General features: G+C 58.6%; 1 protein-coding gene and 1 long non-coding RNA gene across 36 annotated transcripts in view, besides 4 other annotated features; one reads left to right on the top strand and one right to left on the bottom strand.

Annotated features, from left to right (window-relative positions):
- CACNA1G (calcium voltage-gated channel subunit alpha1 G) overlaps positions 1 to 9,776 on the bottom strand; it is a 66,760-nt gene extending 56,984 nt beyond the window's left edge. For all 35 annotated transcript variants that reach the window (NR_046055.2, NR_046054.2, NR_046056.2 and 32 more), the window contains exons 1-4: positions 8,790 to 9,776; positions 1,510 to 1,621; positions 1,193 to 1,326; positions 688 to 785 (exon numbers count right to left, since the gene is read on the bottom strand). Coding sequence is in view for 30 of the 35 variants with exons in the window: in NM_001256325.2 (NP_001243254.1) it covers positions 688 to 785; positions 1,193 to 1,326; positions 1,510 to 1,621; positions 8,790 to 9,031 (586 nt within the window). In the remaining 5 variants the exon portion in view is untranslated. The remainder of the gene's footprint in view (positions 1 to 687; positions 786 to 1,192; positions 1,327 to 1,509; positions 1,622 to 8,789) is intronic.
- Positions 252 to 1,238: an enhancer, noted in NCBI's record as "H3K4me1 hESC enhancer chr17:48646614-48647600 (GRCh37/hg19 assembly coordinates)". NCBI's record gives its function as "activates a minimal SCP1, AML or CMV promoter by ChIP-STARR-seq in primed H9 embryonic stem cells {active_cell/tissue: H9 hESC(primed)}" and the evidence as "EXISTENCE:reporter gene assay evidence [ECO:0000049][PMID:30033119]".
- Positions 8,228 to 8,817: an enhancer, noted in NCBI's record as "H3K4me1 hESC enhancer chr17:48639035-48639624 (GRCh37/hg19 assembly coordinates)". NCBI's record gives its function as "activates a minimal SCP1, AML or CMV promoter by ChIP-STARR-seq in naive H9 embryonic stem cells {active_cell/tissue: H9 hESC(naive)}" and the evidence as "EXISTENCE:reporter gene assay evidence [ECO:0000049][PMID:30033119]".
- CACNA1G-AS1 (CACNA1G antisense RNA 1) lies at positions 8,383 to 14,284 on the top strand. Its single transcript, NR_038439.1, has 2 exons — positions 8,383 to 8,563; positions 13,033 to 14,284. It is a non-coding gene; the product is annotated as a CACNA1G antisense RNA 1 (long non-coding RNA).
- Positions 9,577 to 9,956: a silencer, noted in NCBI's record as "silent region_8705". NCBI's record gives its function as "represses an Ori minimal core promoter by ATAC-STARR-seq in GM12878 lymphoblastoid cells {active_cell/tissue: GM12878}" and the evidence as "EXISTENCE:reporter gene assay evidence [ECO:0000049][PMID:35858748]".
- Positions 10,177 to 10,226: an enhancer, noted in NCBI's record as "active region_12387". NCBI's record gives its function as "activates an Ori minimal core promoter by ATAC-STARR-seq in GM12878 lymphoblastoid cells {active_cell/tissue: GM12878}" and the evidence as "EXISTENCE:reporter gene assay evidence [ECO:0000049][PMID:35858748]".

Below are 14,316 nucleotides of genomic sequence, written 5' to 3'. Positions count from 1 at the left end.
CGCCAACCACCCCACTCCTAGGACCACAGCAGGGACCATCTGCAGCTTGTGTAGGTTGGGGAGTTGCAAAGGGGGCCTGAGCAAAGGGAGGGGGCAGTATGTAGGGAGAACTAGAGCTGCCAAAGCCTCGCTGGCTCCAGAAACCAATGCAGTTTAATTTAGATAATGGGCCCGGCAGTTACTGCAATGGGTTGGAAGGGGGCGGGAAGGAGGAAGGGGACAGAGGCGGAGGGTGAGACATGGAGTGGCCTTGTCTTGAGAGAAGTCACGTTCAGCGTGGCCAGCGTGTCTCACCAGCAAGAACCAGATTGCATGAGAGGCTGTTCTGGCTAGAAAAGGCCATTAGCACTTTGCGTCCACTCCTTGCCTGTCAGCCTCTCCAGTCCCCACACCCCTATCCTCCTGGGGGGAGTGGTCATCTAGCTGAAGGAAGAGGGTCATCTGAGATGTTTCTGAGACTCTGACCTAAAGCCAGGCTAAAATGAGGTGGGGTTTTCCCAGGTAACTCCCATAGTGCCACATTCAGGAGTTCCATTTTGTTCCAGCAATCCCAGCTCCCCACTGAGCCCTTCTCTGACGGGGCCTGTGAGGGGTCAGGTGAGGACACAGTAGTAGAGGTGGGGTCTGAGAGTTCCACATTTCCTCCTGGGGCTCTCTTCAGGGGCTGAGGGCTGAGGGGTCACTCACTGGGCACCCGGTTAATGGCCCTGAGCGGTCGCAGCACACGGACTGTCCTGACAGCTGAGAAGCTGACGTTCTGCAGGTCCAGCGAGTACTCCAGCATCCTGCAGGGAGGGGCCCAAAGGGAGGCCCTTTGAGTCTGAGGCCACAGTGGGGTCAAAAGAGGTCAATGAGGAATCCTGCTTTAGGGGCAGCAGGATGACCTCTGACTCCTTCTTCTTCTTCACCAAGGGACCCTGAAGATCCGGCTCTCTGTCTGGGGGGCAAGGCTACCCCGAGACAAGGACAGATTGCCCATCAGAGAAGGGGGCAGAATTAGGAATAGGGCCTTGGAATTTAGAATATAGGCTACAGTGCTAGAGGCAGGGCAGCCTCAGACCCTCAGGAGATAGCCAGGGAGAAAGTGGTGCTGTAACTGGGCTGGAGCTGAGAGGTCACAGGCCCAGAACCCTGGCCCCGGGGAAGGGACCGATCTGATCCATTGCTCTCCCACCCCAGCCCAGGTCCTCACCCTGCGATGACGATGAAAAAGTCAAGCCGGTTCCAAGTGTCTCCCAGGTAACACTTTTTCCCAAAGATGCCCAAGGCCACCATCTTCACCACCATCTCCACGGCAAAGAAGGCAAAGATGAAGTCATCAAAGGCCTGATGTGGGGACAAGAGGTGGCTGAAACTGAGACGTGGGTGAGGGAATACCCTCTAGTCCCACCCTAGTCCCCACCAGTTGGGTCAGGGCCTCTTGCAGAGGAGTAGAGGGTATTAAGATTAAGAGGGGCCAACCCCCAACACACACAACACACACACACACACACACACACACACACTCACCTGCAGGATCCGGCAGCGCTGGGAGTCACAGGCGATGTCCTCGCATGGCCGGAACATGCCCAGGGTCACGCAGTTGAGAAGGATGACCAACATGCTGATGCGCTCAAACCAGGTACTGGCAGTCAAGGAAACAGCTGGCCAAGGCTGGAGCTGAGGCCGGCCCCCCGACCCCGCCCTAACACCTCCTCCTCGTTTACCTCCTGGCTCCATCTGAGGCTAAGCAGGTGTGGTGCCAGGGCCCTGACATACACGCAGACCAGCCCCCAGCCCCAGACTCCTCATCAGAGAAGGGGAGTCCCACCTTGGTCATCTCACCTCTCTGGACCCAGCTTCCTCATCTGTAAAGGAAGACAAGCCACAAATACCCTGACTATTTGCACAAGCCATTTGGGGAATAAATCGATCATGCCTGTGGAAATGCCAGACACCATGAGTTTGCTGCAGAATCTGAATCCTATTCTCCCTACCTCACAGGGTAGATGTGAGAAGCAAATGAGATACTGTATGTGAATGTGTTATACAAACCTAAAGTCGGATTATGCCTGCCTTACAGTTTACCAAGCACTTTCACACAATGCCACAGTTGATGCTCACAACAGCCCTGTGAAATATCTGGGGTAGATCATTTTCTTCCCCAGAACTCGAGGAAGTTGAGGCCCAGAAATGCCGAAGTCATGTGCTGAAGGTCACCCGAGAAGGCAGGATGAGACGGTGGTTTCCAAGCTCCTGATCTATGATAGTTTCCTCTGCACACCATAGCTGCTCAGGCAGGCAGAACTGCCTGTCATGACCGCCCTGGCACTAGGTGTAAGGCAGACGTCCACAGCTGCAGTCCCCGCTGCTACAGCACCAGAGCCCGGGGCTCCCTCTTCCACCACCAGCCTCCCAACCTCTCAACACCCTCAAATGACCACTAGGCATATTCACACATTTAAATATTGAGGACCCATTATGTGTCAGGCACCATGCTGGGCATAGCTCCCAAGCCGTGCAGAGTGGACAATGTCTACCCCCTCCCCCAAGAGGCCATTGCCGCCATCACACCTGCTTGTGGCTTCCAGCCCAGACCAGCCAAAACAGCAAGCAGGAGAGAGGGGTTCTTTCTAAACCCTGGGTCTTTCCATACAGTGGATTCTATGGGGTGACTCATTTCCAGCCCATCAGCAGGAGAATGTACAAAACGGCCTCCGGACCTTAGAAGGTTCCAGGCACTGGACTCACGGTTAAATGACCAAGTATCCTATTTTCTTTAAGGAAAATATGAGAAGGGTGGGGAAGAGTAAAGAGGCTAGAAAAGATCAGAGAGCAGGAGATTGGGGAAAGGAGACCAGAGACCCCCTGGGGAATGGGGATGGGGGAGGTATTGTGGCAGCTCCTGGCATGACCCACCAAGCCAGACTCTGTAGGGCCCAGAGCAGGTGGAATCTTGCTTCTGGAATGAGAAGGCTTTGGCCAGGCATGAAGAGGCCAGCAGGAATGTTCAGGAACCTATGGACCTTCCTCCCAGCTGGTCCCAGCCATAGCCCATCTCTGTTCTGACTCCCAAGCCACATGCCCTCCCCCATAGCCCATGAATCCCTCAAACCCCTGACAGCCCTCCCCTGTCTCTTCTCCACCACCCAGGCCCTTCTCCCCTAGACTCACATGCCTGCTCGCCACCTGTCCGTGGTACCCCGAGAGTCCTAATGCACTGCAGTTTCCCTAACCCCCACCCCCTCACAAGAATAAGAGGGTTTAAGAAAAAAGTTCTAGGTTTTTGGGGGTAGGCAGATGACAGGGAGGAAATAAAAAGTGCTCTGTTTCCACGGAATTGTTTTTCTGAGTAGAGCCGGAGTGCAGTGGATCTCTCCCCAGAATGGGGGTCAGCCAGGGGTCACCCTGGAAAAAGGGGGACAGGAAGGGAGCCATCATTTGGAAAGGGAAAGACACAGTTACCCTCAAGAACTGGTCTGCTTTCCCCATGCAGGTCCCCTCCTCTCCTCTGCAGGGAAAGGGGGGTCTGGAAGGAGCCCCAGTGAGTGAATGTCTCTGTGTGGAGGCAGTAGATCTCTGAGGAAGAGGGGCTCCCAGGACATCTGCTTGGACCCCTCTAATGGCAGAGTTCCACCGTGTTAGTAATCTGTGCACTTGTCGACCTCCCCTGCTGAGCTGGGGCTCCTGACAGGCAGGGGCATTCTGATACGTCTTTAGATCCCCTACGGAGCTTGCTGTAGTGCCTGGCACGGAGCAGATGATCAATACCTGGGAAGACTGAATGAATGAATGAACGAATCAACCAATCAATAAGTCTCCCTGCCTAGAAGCCAGATGTGTGTCCCCATTCAGGTCTTCCTGCCTTGTTTCCCTTGACAGAGGTGAACTGCTTATAACTGGGGGAAGGTACAGAAGTGACCTCACAGAGGAGTTGCCCCTCTTTCTGTCCCCACCTTACCCAGGCTCAGACTGGAGGCCTCTTACAGGCAAAGCCTGCCCCCGAATAACCTCATGCACAGCTCTTGATCATGTCAGCCCCTTCTTAAGGGTCCCTTGGCAATTCAGCCTACTTCCAAGTAACATCCTGCCCACCCTGTACAGCTCTCCTTCCACGACACGTAAGCATAAACGGACAGGGAAGAGACCAAGGCACACGACAATTTGGGACACTCTGAATAGAGGAATAATTGATGGGGGGGGGGTCTTTCACCCTTCTCAGAGTAGGGCTTGTTTCCTTGGGAACATGGCAGTATGTCACTGTGTGATGTTCTTCTGTTGCCATAACGACAGGAGGATGTGTCACCAGGTGGTGTGGATTTGTTGTCATGGTAATTAAAAAGACCCCTCTCACATGATCTCCCCTGACTGAGGCTGTTGTCTTGTCCTTATGCAGGGGAGGAGAATCAGGGAGACCCACAGGTTATCAGGTTGGGGGAAAACCATGTGACAGATCCCCATGGTAACCAAGGGAACGGGGGACACTGGTTGCCATAGTGACTATGAGAGACCTGTGCAGTCACATGTCTACTGTTGCTATGGTGACTGTCCGGGCTGGAGTGGATCCCAAAGAGGGGGTAGGAGAGGGGAGGATCTTTCTTCTCCCCACAACCCACCATCAAAAGCAGAGAAAAAGGAAACGGCAGAGAGAGGAACCCCACTTCCATCCCTCCTCCTTTCCTCCCTCCTGGGAGAGAGAACTAGAGCATGTTATCTCCACAAATGAGTCCTCTGTGTGGGGCTTTATCTAGATAGAGCCCTTGCTTAGCCTGGCAGCCGCAAGGGTGAGGAAAGTAGGGAGAGGAGGGGGGTGGCTGGGACACCTCTAGGGGCACAGGGGCTCTGGGCATGGGCTGAGAAGGCAAGCAGGCCCTCCAGCGGCCCCATTCCCACCTAGGAGCCTGGAAATGTGAGACTAAGGAACGTTGAGGAGAAAATGGGCCTGGACCCAGGAGTCCTGGCCTTCTAGTAAATGAGGAGGTAGGGGGATAGGTCCTTGCCTCACCCATCCCACAGAGAGGCTCCTGGTGTCTATCGGATTCGGCAACCCCTAGGGTAACATGGGATGTAGGGGCTCCGCCCTGCTCCAAAGCTCAAAGGGGGATTCCCCCAGCAGAACCCCCCGCCCCACCCCACAAGCCTATTTCCCTGTGGTTCCCCCCTCACCACGCTTCAGTGCGTGGGTGTAGGGGGAGAGAGGCTTCCAGCTGAATTGAAAACTGAAGCTCACAGAAAGGCAGCCGGCTCCACCCAGAGACAGAGACATGAGACACAGAGACACAAGAGAGACGGCCCGCTGGAATCTTTGGAAGGGGAAATAGGCCAGAAATCTGATTCAAACGTCTGTGACTCTGTGTGTGTGTGTGCGCGTGTGTGTGTGCGCGCGCGTGCGCATGTCTGCGTGTGAGCAGTTGTGTCTGTCGCCATCCTGGCTGAGGCAGGCAGGGCGGGGTGAGTGCTGGGCGGGAGCAGGCGAGGGTGGGGGGGGCTGTGTGGTGGGGGTAATCCCAGGAATGGCTCCAACTGGCACTACGGGTGATGGGGAGTCCCCCAGCAGAGCGGTGGAGCAGAGCGGGTGGGAAGGAATGTGTGTGTGACCCAGAAGGAAAGTGGGCCTGGGGCAGAAAGCATGCCAAGGGGTGATCTGGCCCCCCCTCAATCCCATTCAATTCTCCAGCCCCAGCCCTTCTCCCCAGAATCTCCTCTGGTGAGCTTAGGGTTTGGAAATTAAATTGGAGGAGGGAATTGATGAAGAGACAGGAAGAACACTCCCCCCACCATTTCCTCTGAGGACAGAAATGGAGAATTCTCCCTAGGTAAGAGAAATAGGCAGACTTGGGGCATTGGGACAGTGTGGCAAGGAAGGCTCCAGAAACTCCTGTGCCCCCACCCCTCTAGAGGGACACACTCAGACACACAGAGTGACGCACAGTCACTCACTCACACTCACTTCTGGAAGCCATTAGGGCTCCTGCCGTTCAGGCCTCCCCCCCCTCTCCTCCCCCGACTCCTGGCAGGCTCCCCTCTCCCCCTCTGGCCCCCCTCCCACTCCCCCTCTCTCGGCATCCCAAATGCCAGCCTGTGATTTCCAAATGAGAAAAAGCTGTGCTGGGCTCTGAGCTTGGAGAAACTCCTACACAAACTTCCAGATGTGACACAACAGCCAGAGAGGGAATGCGGAGGAACTCCTCCCCGAGAGGGGAGCGCGCTCCCTCACACTTGCAGGAACACATACTGGAAAGGCCAGCATGCTCCCCTCTGATCTGAGGCAGGGGTGACTGTCTGCCAGTACCCCTGCTCTCCACACCAAAGCTTGCACTTCTGAGCCTTTTGCTGTCCTCCCTTGCAACACACACACACACACACACACACACACACACACACACTTCCTACCTGGGTCTAGATCTCCTCTCTAGGAAACCTGGTCCCTTAAAAAGGAGAGGCCAAGAAGCAGAATGTACCAAGAAAAGCCTAACTAGCTTCAGTTAGTTGGGGGTGGAGGGGAGTGTCCTTATGTCCCTCCGGCTCAGAGGCGTACAGGGACCCTCCTGAAGCCTGTGGGGAGTCACAGATACCACAAAGAGAAAGAGGGAGGCCCTGGAGGCAGTTCAGAGCCCCTCTGGCAGCAAAAATACAGGTGTCTCTTGGTACTTGGGTAGGATGGCAGTGGTGAGGGGCACAGCTTAGGCAGTCCCCTGCCAAAAAATTGTTCTCAACCCATCCTCAGCCAACCCAGGCTTCTCCAGACCTAGTAATGCTGATGCCACACACCCAACTACCACTCCCCTGGGGGAAGCTGCTCCCCAACTCCCAAGGTGAGTGCTGTCCTCCCACCTCTCCTCCCCCATGCCAGGCCTCAACACTTGCCCCCGTCCAGACCACTCAGTGAAGGAGTCTGCCTCCAGACCCTCCACTAGCACCTGGAGATAGGGCAGGCGAGAAGAGATGCTAGCCTAGAGGTCTGTTTTCAGGGAGAGGGGAGAGAAGAGCTCTCTCTACCTCCCCTGGGACCCTTGAGAAGGAGGACATAGAGGTTGATGCTTTTTCCCATTCGTGGAAGGGGTAAATGATTAGGGGCAGAGAGGAGAGTTGCTCGGAACCCATCCTTTCCAGCCATATCAGTTCTCCATCTCCATCCCTGCCTGGGAGAAAGGGGCCTGGGGCTGGGGGCTCAAACCTCAAGATTGTGCCTATTCAGCAAGAACACAGACCTCTGAGGCCTGCACCTCTCTTTCTGCAGCTCAGAGAGAAAGGAAGAAGGGGCAGTGGATGAGAAGAGGATGTGATGAGGGGAGCTTCCTAAAGACCCACAAGGTGTAGAGGATGGGGGTGGGGGGGCCACAAGCTCATCCCTGCTTTGCGCACTAGAGGCAGCAGAGCTGCAGAGAGTGAGGGCGGCACCAACCTTCCACCCCCCTTCCCCAAAGCAGAGTCCCTGCTAGGCTCACAGGGGCTACAAGGGAGACCTGGGGTCTCCCACCCTGGGTCTATAAGAACCTCTGAGCTGGAAGGAAGGAGCCCAGAGAAGCTGTCCAGACCTGAGATGGCAGCAACACCTCCCCTCCACCTTTCCTTCCCCCGGTGGCAGGACCCGCCAGGGAGCTTGGGGCCAGGCGTCTGTCAAGTGGCGCTTTGAGCTAGGGTCTGACTGGGCTGGGGTCTCCCCTACCACTCCAGCCTGGGCAGACAGGGAGCAGTGCTAAATCCATCTCCCTGGAATGTGGGGCTTGCATTCCCCAAACCTATCTGCGGAGTCTACGCTGGGGTGGTGGACCCGAGTCCTCCTTAGTGAACACACTGACAGTATTACTGTCCCCTCAAGACTTTCGCGGGCCTGCAGTCCCCCATACCTGGTCTGCAGGAGCACTCTTTATTTGTGAAAGGGGAGGAGTAACCTGGACCAGCTTAACCCCATCCCCCACTTGCTAAAAAAGCTCTTGACACAGTCTTTCCCTCCACAAGAAAAATCCAGCATAAAACTCCCCAACCCAATCTTAAGCACCCTGCATCGAATGGAGATCGGGTAGGAGGCACCCGCGGCACTGGGCTCTAGCGGAAAGGGGCTCCACTCCCAGCTCCGGGGGCAGACAGCTCCCCTCCACCACATCTTGTTCTCATTCTGCGCCCCTGACATCAGCCGCCGCCGGAATCTCCTTGTTGTGCCTCCAACCCGCGAGGTGGGGGGTGAGGTGGGCCAGGACCTGGTCCCCGCCCCCCAACATCTCCTTCTAGGTCAGTAAAAACCTCAGCCTCAAGGACCAGGTTGGGGGATCAGACCCTAGAATCCGCCGCAAACTTTGGGGCGGGGGAAGGAGGGAAACCCAGGAGATTGCGGTCCCCCCTCCTCCGTCCCCGCAGCTTCCTCCCCACCGCCCCCACCCACCCCCCACCAAACTCGGAAACCAAACCCAGCTCGCTAACCGGCGCGGGCAGAGTACAGCTCCCAGGCTCCCGAAGCTTCCCACATCTGGAGGATGACGACCCTCCCCTGACCACATCTGGAGGGCGTCCAGCTGCGAGCCAGCGGGGCACAGCTCTCTTCTCCTGGCCTGGATCCCCACCCCCCCAACCCAGGAAGACTGAGGTGTGTGTACGCAGGTGGGGTAAGCCCGGGTTACCGACGAGACCTGCTCGCGTCTCCGCTCCCACTCTGGTGCCCCCTCCCCTCCCTGGCAGCCCCCCCCCCATCCGCCTACCCTCCGGGCTCACTTCGACTCACCTGGCGGTGGGTCTTCTTCCCCCCCGACCCCCGGCGGTGCGGCCCGTCCCCCTTCTGACCCCGCGCCTGGCCGTCGTGCCCCGAAGGATATGGGTTACAGACCGTGCGGAGACACCAGCTCCGCGGGCGGCTGTCCTGGCTCAAGTAGAAGAAAACCACCGGGGCCAGCGCCGGGTACGGCAGCCCCTCCGCCTCGGAGTCCGCGCTGCCCGGGTCCTTTTCTGCTGACCCCGGCCCCGGCCGGCCCCCGGCCCCCGACAGGTCGTTGAGCCGCATGAAGCTCCGGGGCTGTCCCGACTCCTCGGCGCCCGCTCCATCCTCCTCCTCGTCCATCCTCTGGCCAGCCGGGGCCCCGGGCGATCCGGAGAGGGGCAAGCGGCGCCCCTCAGAGGAGGTGTCCTCACGCAACCCGGGGGCCCCGGCGGGGGCACATCTGGTGGGCTCTAGGGCGCAAGCTGAGCCCCCGGGAGGGCCAGTTCAGCCCAGCTCCCCCTGCCCGCAGGGGCATGCTGCCCGCGGGGCGCCGGGGCGCAGGGAAACCCCGCCCGGCGCGAGTCCCGCTTCCCCTGCGCCCCTGGGGCTTCCCGGGCCAGCCGGCCGGCTCCCCCTCACTTTGTTCCGGCTTCTTCGCTTCGCGCCCAGGCTCCGGTTGCCGGATTCGGCGCTACCTTCGGCGAAGCCGCCCCGAGAGGGCGAACGAAAAGGGGGGCAGCGGCGGAGGGCGGGGGTCCGGGGAGGGGCGCCCCCTCTTCCCGCGGCGCAGCTGGAGCCGGATCTAAGGGGTCAGCATCGTCCCGGCTCCGCGCCAGGCGGCGGGGGAGGGGAGGAGGGATCTCTTTAGGGGTGGGCTTGGAGGGGGTGGGGGCGGCTCCTTCCCCCGCCCCGCCGCGGGCTCACTGTCCGGGAGGGGCGGGGAGACAGTGGGGGGCAGTCCCGGGCGGGAGTGGAGGCGGAGATGCCGCCGCCGCAGCCGCCGCGGTGGCTGCCGCTGCCGTAGCTGTCGCCGGCGCCACAGCCTCCTCCTCCGGCCGAGACGCGGAGCGAGCGAGCGAAAGCGGCGGCGAGGAGCCCCGCGCACACCACAGCTGGATCCCTCACTTCAACTTCAAGCCTCGGCCCCGCCCCCAGACAGCCCCGCAGCCAATCGCCGGACGCCGCCGGCCCCGAGCCGCGCGCCCATTGGCCGTCCGCCGTGGCAGTGCGGGCGGGAGCGCAGGGAGAGAACCACAGCTGGAATCCGATTCCCACCCCAAAACCCAGGACCGCCCCTCTCCCCTCCCCTTGCCCCTGGGTCCGCTCCCGAAGGCTGGAGCCAATCAGACTGCTGCCCAGACCGAACCCACTTTCCTATTGGCCATTGGGGTCTTTGGGACTCCCTTGGAGGGAGCCCGAAGAATCAGAGTATTCGGCGCGGGGTCCTGGCGTAGGGCCGCAGGCCCCAGGCATCCTTTGTCCACGACCCCTGATTTGGGCAGCAGCCGGAGGACGGAGCTCAGCTCTGGGCGGGCCTGGGGAAGAAAGGAGACAGGCGGCACGGGGGTGAGGGTTGTCACCAGGGGGTCCCAGAGCGAAATCCCAGGTCTCCACCTGGTTAATCTCCCACCCTGGAGTTGAGCTTGGCTGCGGGACTGGGGGAGGGAAGGAGCGGAGCTGGATGTCCTGGGGGTGGGGCTTCAGGCTGGAGGGGCCCAGTCTTGGAGAAACGGGCGGAGCTCGAGAAAGGCTAGGGTAGGCATGGTCTGGGCGTGGCCTCCACAAATCTCTTGGGCTTATTGGTCATACTCCCGAGTCAATTCTGAGACTTCGACCCTGACCTCGTAACCCTAACCCGCTGGACCTGACCTCACATTGACGCTCCTGGGCTTCATCCCTTTGCCCCTAGGGACCTTTTGAAGGGCGTGGACTCCACGCAGGGGCTTCGTGCTTGAACACGTGGCCCCAGGCAGGTCGCGCTGGACCGCAGAGCCCGGATCCCCAGGAGGGGCTGCGGAGCAGAGCGAGGACCCCTAAGAAGGAACCTGTGGGGGTCTCGAGTGTGTGGGAGGGGGCGGAAGCACAGAGCTGGGCTTTATCGACTCGACCTTCAAAGTCCCCACCACCGCCACCCCCCAACTTCGTGCCTCAGTTTCTCTTAAGTCCCTATGTGGCTTAGGGAAAGAGTGTCCGCGGAACTGGAACTTCGCGGGTCTGCCGCCTTCACTCACTCACCTTAACCCTACCGGCAGCGGGCCCTCGTGGGTTTGTGCTTTCCACGCGTGCACACGCACGCGCAGACCCCGGCCCTTGCCCCGCCTACCTCCCCGAGTTCTGGGGCTCAGTCGGCTCTAGCTCTCTCCTGCCGCCGGCGCCACTCCAGAAAGCTGTGGGTACCCGGGAGCGGAGCGCCGCGGGTGTGCTGGGCGCCGGTGGAGGGGGGAACAGCGAGGATTAGACGCCGGGAAGCACTTCCCCAACATCTGCGAGAGGTAGACACGGCGGAACCTAGTGGGTCAGTCAGTTCCCTCTCCGGAGATTTTGGGGCGCTTGCGCCACTGCGGAGAGGCGGCGGGATGGGTCGGATGACCTCCATCACCACCCCTCACTTTGCTGAGGCCATCACCCCTGGGCGTTGTTCACTCTCCTAAGGCTGCACCACCCACGCAGCCCCCGCGCACCTCCCGCCACCGCAGAGGGTTGGGGTCGTCTCAGTTCCCGCCCCGGCCGATGGGGGGAGGGGATGGGGGAAGTGGCAGAGTGGCTGCTGCGCCGTCGTCTCCCTGGTTGCCCTTTCGCCGAATCCATGCACAGAGTTGTGTAAATGAGGCCGGGCGGGCTCATTTGCATTTCATGCTAATGAGCAGATCCCCTAAGTGCCTTTTTTTCCTGGCGGGAGTCTCTGCTCTCATTCTGAGTATGCGGCGCCTGAGTCTTGAACCCCGTGCCGTCTTCTGGGAAAGGGGGGCTATTTATGGTTGCTCCGCGCGTCTGACACCTTCTTCCCTCCCGAGAGGCCGCAGTCTGCCGGGTCGGCCTGCCCTTCCCGCCAGGATAGAGGCCCCGGGGCTGGCGCGAGAAGTAGGGACGCCCAACACCCCTTCTTTGCAGAGGGGAAAATGAGGACAGAGAGGCTGGCCCAGCCCAATGATCAGGTCCCCTGGTGGTCAGCAGGCCCCACACCCTCATCCATCATCCCGGCCACCCCTGGGCTCTGGACTGAACTCTGTTCTAGAACATGCCCGAAAGGAGGGCAGGCACAAACGCACCATCTAGATAAATTGAGATCCACATGCACTTCCCTGGGTTCAGGACCTAGGGGAGACCGGCCACGCAAGACAGGATCTGATCCCTGTACTCGGCATGTTGGGGCTGATGGCCAGTCGGAGATGCTTACCCTTAGCCTGAGTGCCAGAGAGGAGGCAGAGGCAGAACCTACAGGGAAGGCAAAGAAGACCTGAAACCATCTTTATTTAACTCCAGCCCTCCAAGCCTCAGCTCTGACATCACCTCCTCAGAGTGGCCTTCTTTCCAGCAAGTATTTCAATGCCACTTAAGTGCCAAGGTGCTTAGGATACAGCACCGAGCCAGACACAAGTCTGGAACTTCACAGCACTTAGCCCAGGCTGGGATTATATGTTTGTGTTTGCAGTAATGAAATGATCATCTCCCTATCTAGGCTCTGTGTTCCCAGAGGGGCTATGTTCATTTTGCTCACTAGGGCCTTGTCTAGTGTCGGGCACAAAGTTGTTAGGTGAATGAATGACCTCAGGCAGGGAAAGGGAAACAAAGGGACAAGAAATTCCTTTCTTTGGGCCTCAGTTTCTCAACAAAGACACTAAGCCTAACTAAGAGTTTTTCTGGGTTTGAGGAAGAACCCCCCCCATATATACCCTGCTCAGCCAGCCCCTCCAGCCCCCTCCAGCCCTGCCTTTACCCCTCCCTCACAGCCCATCTGGCTCCCTGCGGAGCTAAGATAATCTTCCCATCTGTGATACCCTTTGCTCAGGGATGATACAACCATTATCCCATTTAGTCACCTTAACAGCCCTGAGAGCTGGGTGGATGGCCCCCCACCTTTCAGATAAGGAAGGGGGGTGCTCAGAATGATGAAGTTACTTAAGTGACTGCCCAGACGGTATGGCCCTGTCTCCAGTGACCCTGGCCCGCAGGTGTTCCGCTGGTAGAACAGGGTGCACACTCAAGAGGGACCAGCAAAGGGGAAGGGATGCTGCAGGAACTCTTATAATCCTGCTTCTGAGTGAGATTTATGTGGGACCCTGCCCCCTTTAGAAATTCGAGCACTCCTGGGAGAACTAACCCTTTAAGGAGGTAACTCCTTCTTCCCAACCCATTTACAGAATCCCATCATCGCGTGCACATCTCATCCCAGGAGGGAGAGAGGAGCTGCCGAGTAGAAAGCAGACTGGCTGCAGGGACAGAAGACACCAAGGGCACCCTCCCCCACAGCTGCGCCTGGACCTCCTGCGAGAAGAGGAAGCCTTAGGGGTCTTTATTGTACCCTCAAGACCCCAGAGAGAAACAGAAGTGCTGAGGGGTCGCAGGCAGGTCTCTTACCCTCTCTGGGCCTCGAATATTTATCCATAGGAGGCTGAAGGTAACTGCCTTCGCAACTCATTCATGAGGGTCAATGGGACGACAGTGGCAAGAGGGGTTGGCACACTGCCCAGACTGTTCCAAAGCCAGGGCTGGGGCTGCCAAAAAGGCCACCTGTGCTTCACCATGCTCCATCCTCCCTCTCTTCCACCTCCCCAGGCTGGGCTCCACTTGTCCAGCTCTCTGACTTCCTGGCAAGGTTGAGTAGGCTCCAGCTAGGAAGGGGCCAGCTGACCTTGTTGGCCGGAGCACTAATCCCCTCCAGATGGGCTGGTGGCTTGCACTGAGGGCCTGGCTGCCCAGACAGAGCTGACTCTGGTCCCAGTGACCATGTGTGGCTATGTGTGACCGTGTGAAGGGAGCAATTCCATCCAGTCTCCCGGTTCCTTCCTGCTTCACTCCTCCCCACTGCTGACATCCCCCACAAGCAGTGGCCCCATGAAGGCCTTCTTGTCTCTAGTAGCCTCTTTTGGCTCTCTGTGTTGCTTAGCTGGAGGGCTGAGGATGCCTGGCACAGCCGATTCCCAAAGGCCTCAGAGGGACAGCTCCTCCCCCTGCTTCCCCCACCCCGTCAGCCCCATCACTCTGCACCTGCCCTTCCCAAAGCATGTGTCCCAGTCCCCATCCCTCAACCCAAGGAAGATGTATGTGTCAAGGACAGGACTCAGGAGCATTTCCCAACATTTAGGGGAAAGGATGAGGTCACAGGAAGGCTTTCTCTGCAGCAAGAAGGACTCAGATAGATTTGGGGAAGGACTTCCAACCCAACAGATGTTCCAAACGAAAGAGAACTCTTTCTTTGGACCAGCTTGTATGAAAGCAGACAAATGGACAACATGACCTCCTGCAAGGAGGCCCTGCTTCCATCCTTTCGAGGCTGGGGCTAGATGGATACCCCAAAAGAAATGTCTTAGTCGTGACAATAGCAGCTCCCACAATGCACCAGGGCATATGCAAAGTCACCATTCTGTGAAATATAAAAGCTCATATAAAGCATCTCTGCCCCCTTTCCAGCTCAACACAAGGAG

Source organism: Homo sapiens, chromosome 17, assembly GCF_000001405.40.
Source record: "Homo sapiens chromosome 17, GRCh38.p14 Primary Assembly".
Taxonomy (NCBI): domain Eukaryota; kingdom Metazoa; phylum Chordata; class Mammalia; order Primates; family Hominidae; genus Homo; species Homo sapiens.
This window is presented reverse-complemented; position numbering and strand designations above follow the sequence as displayed.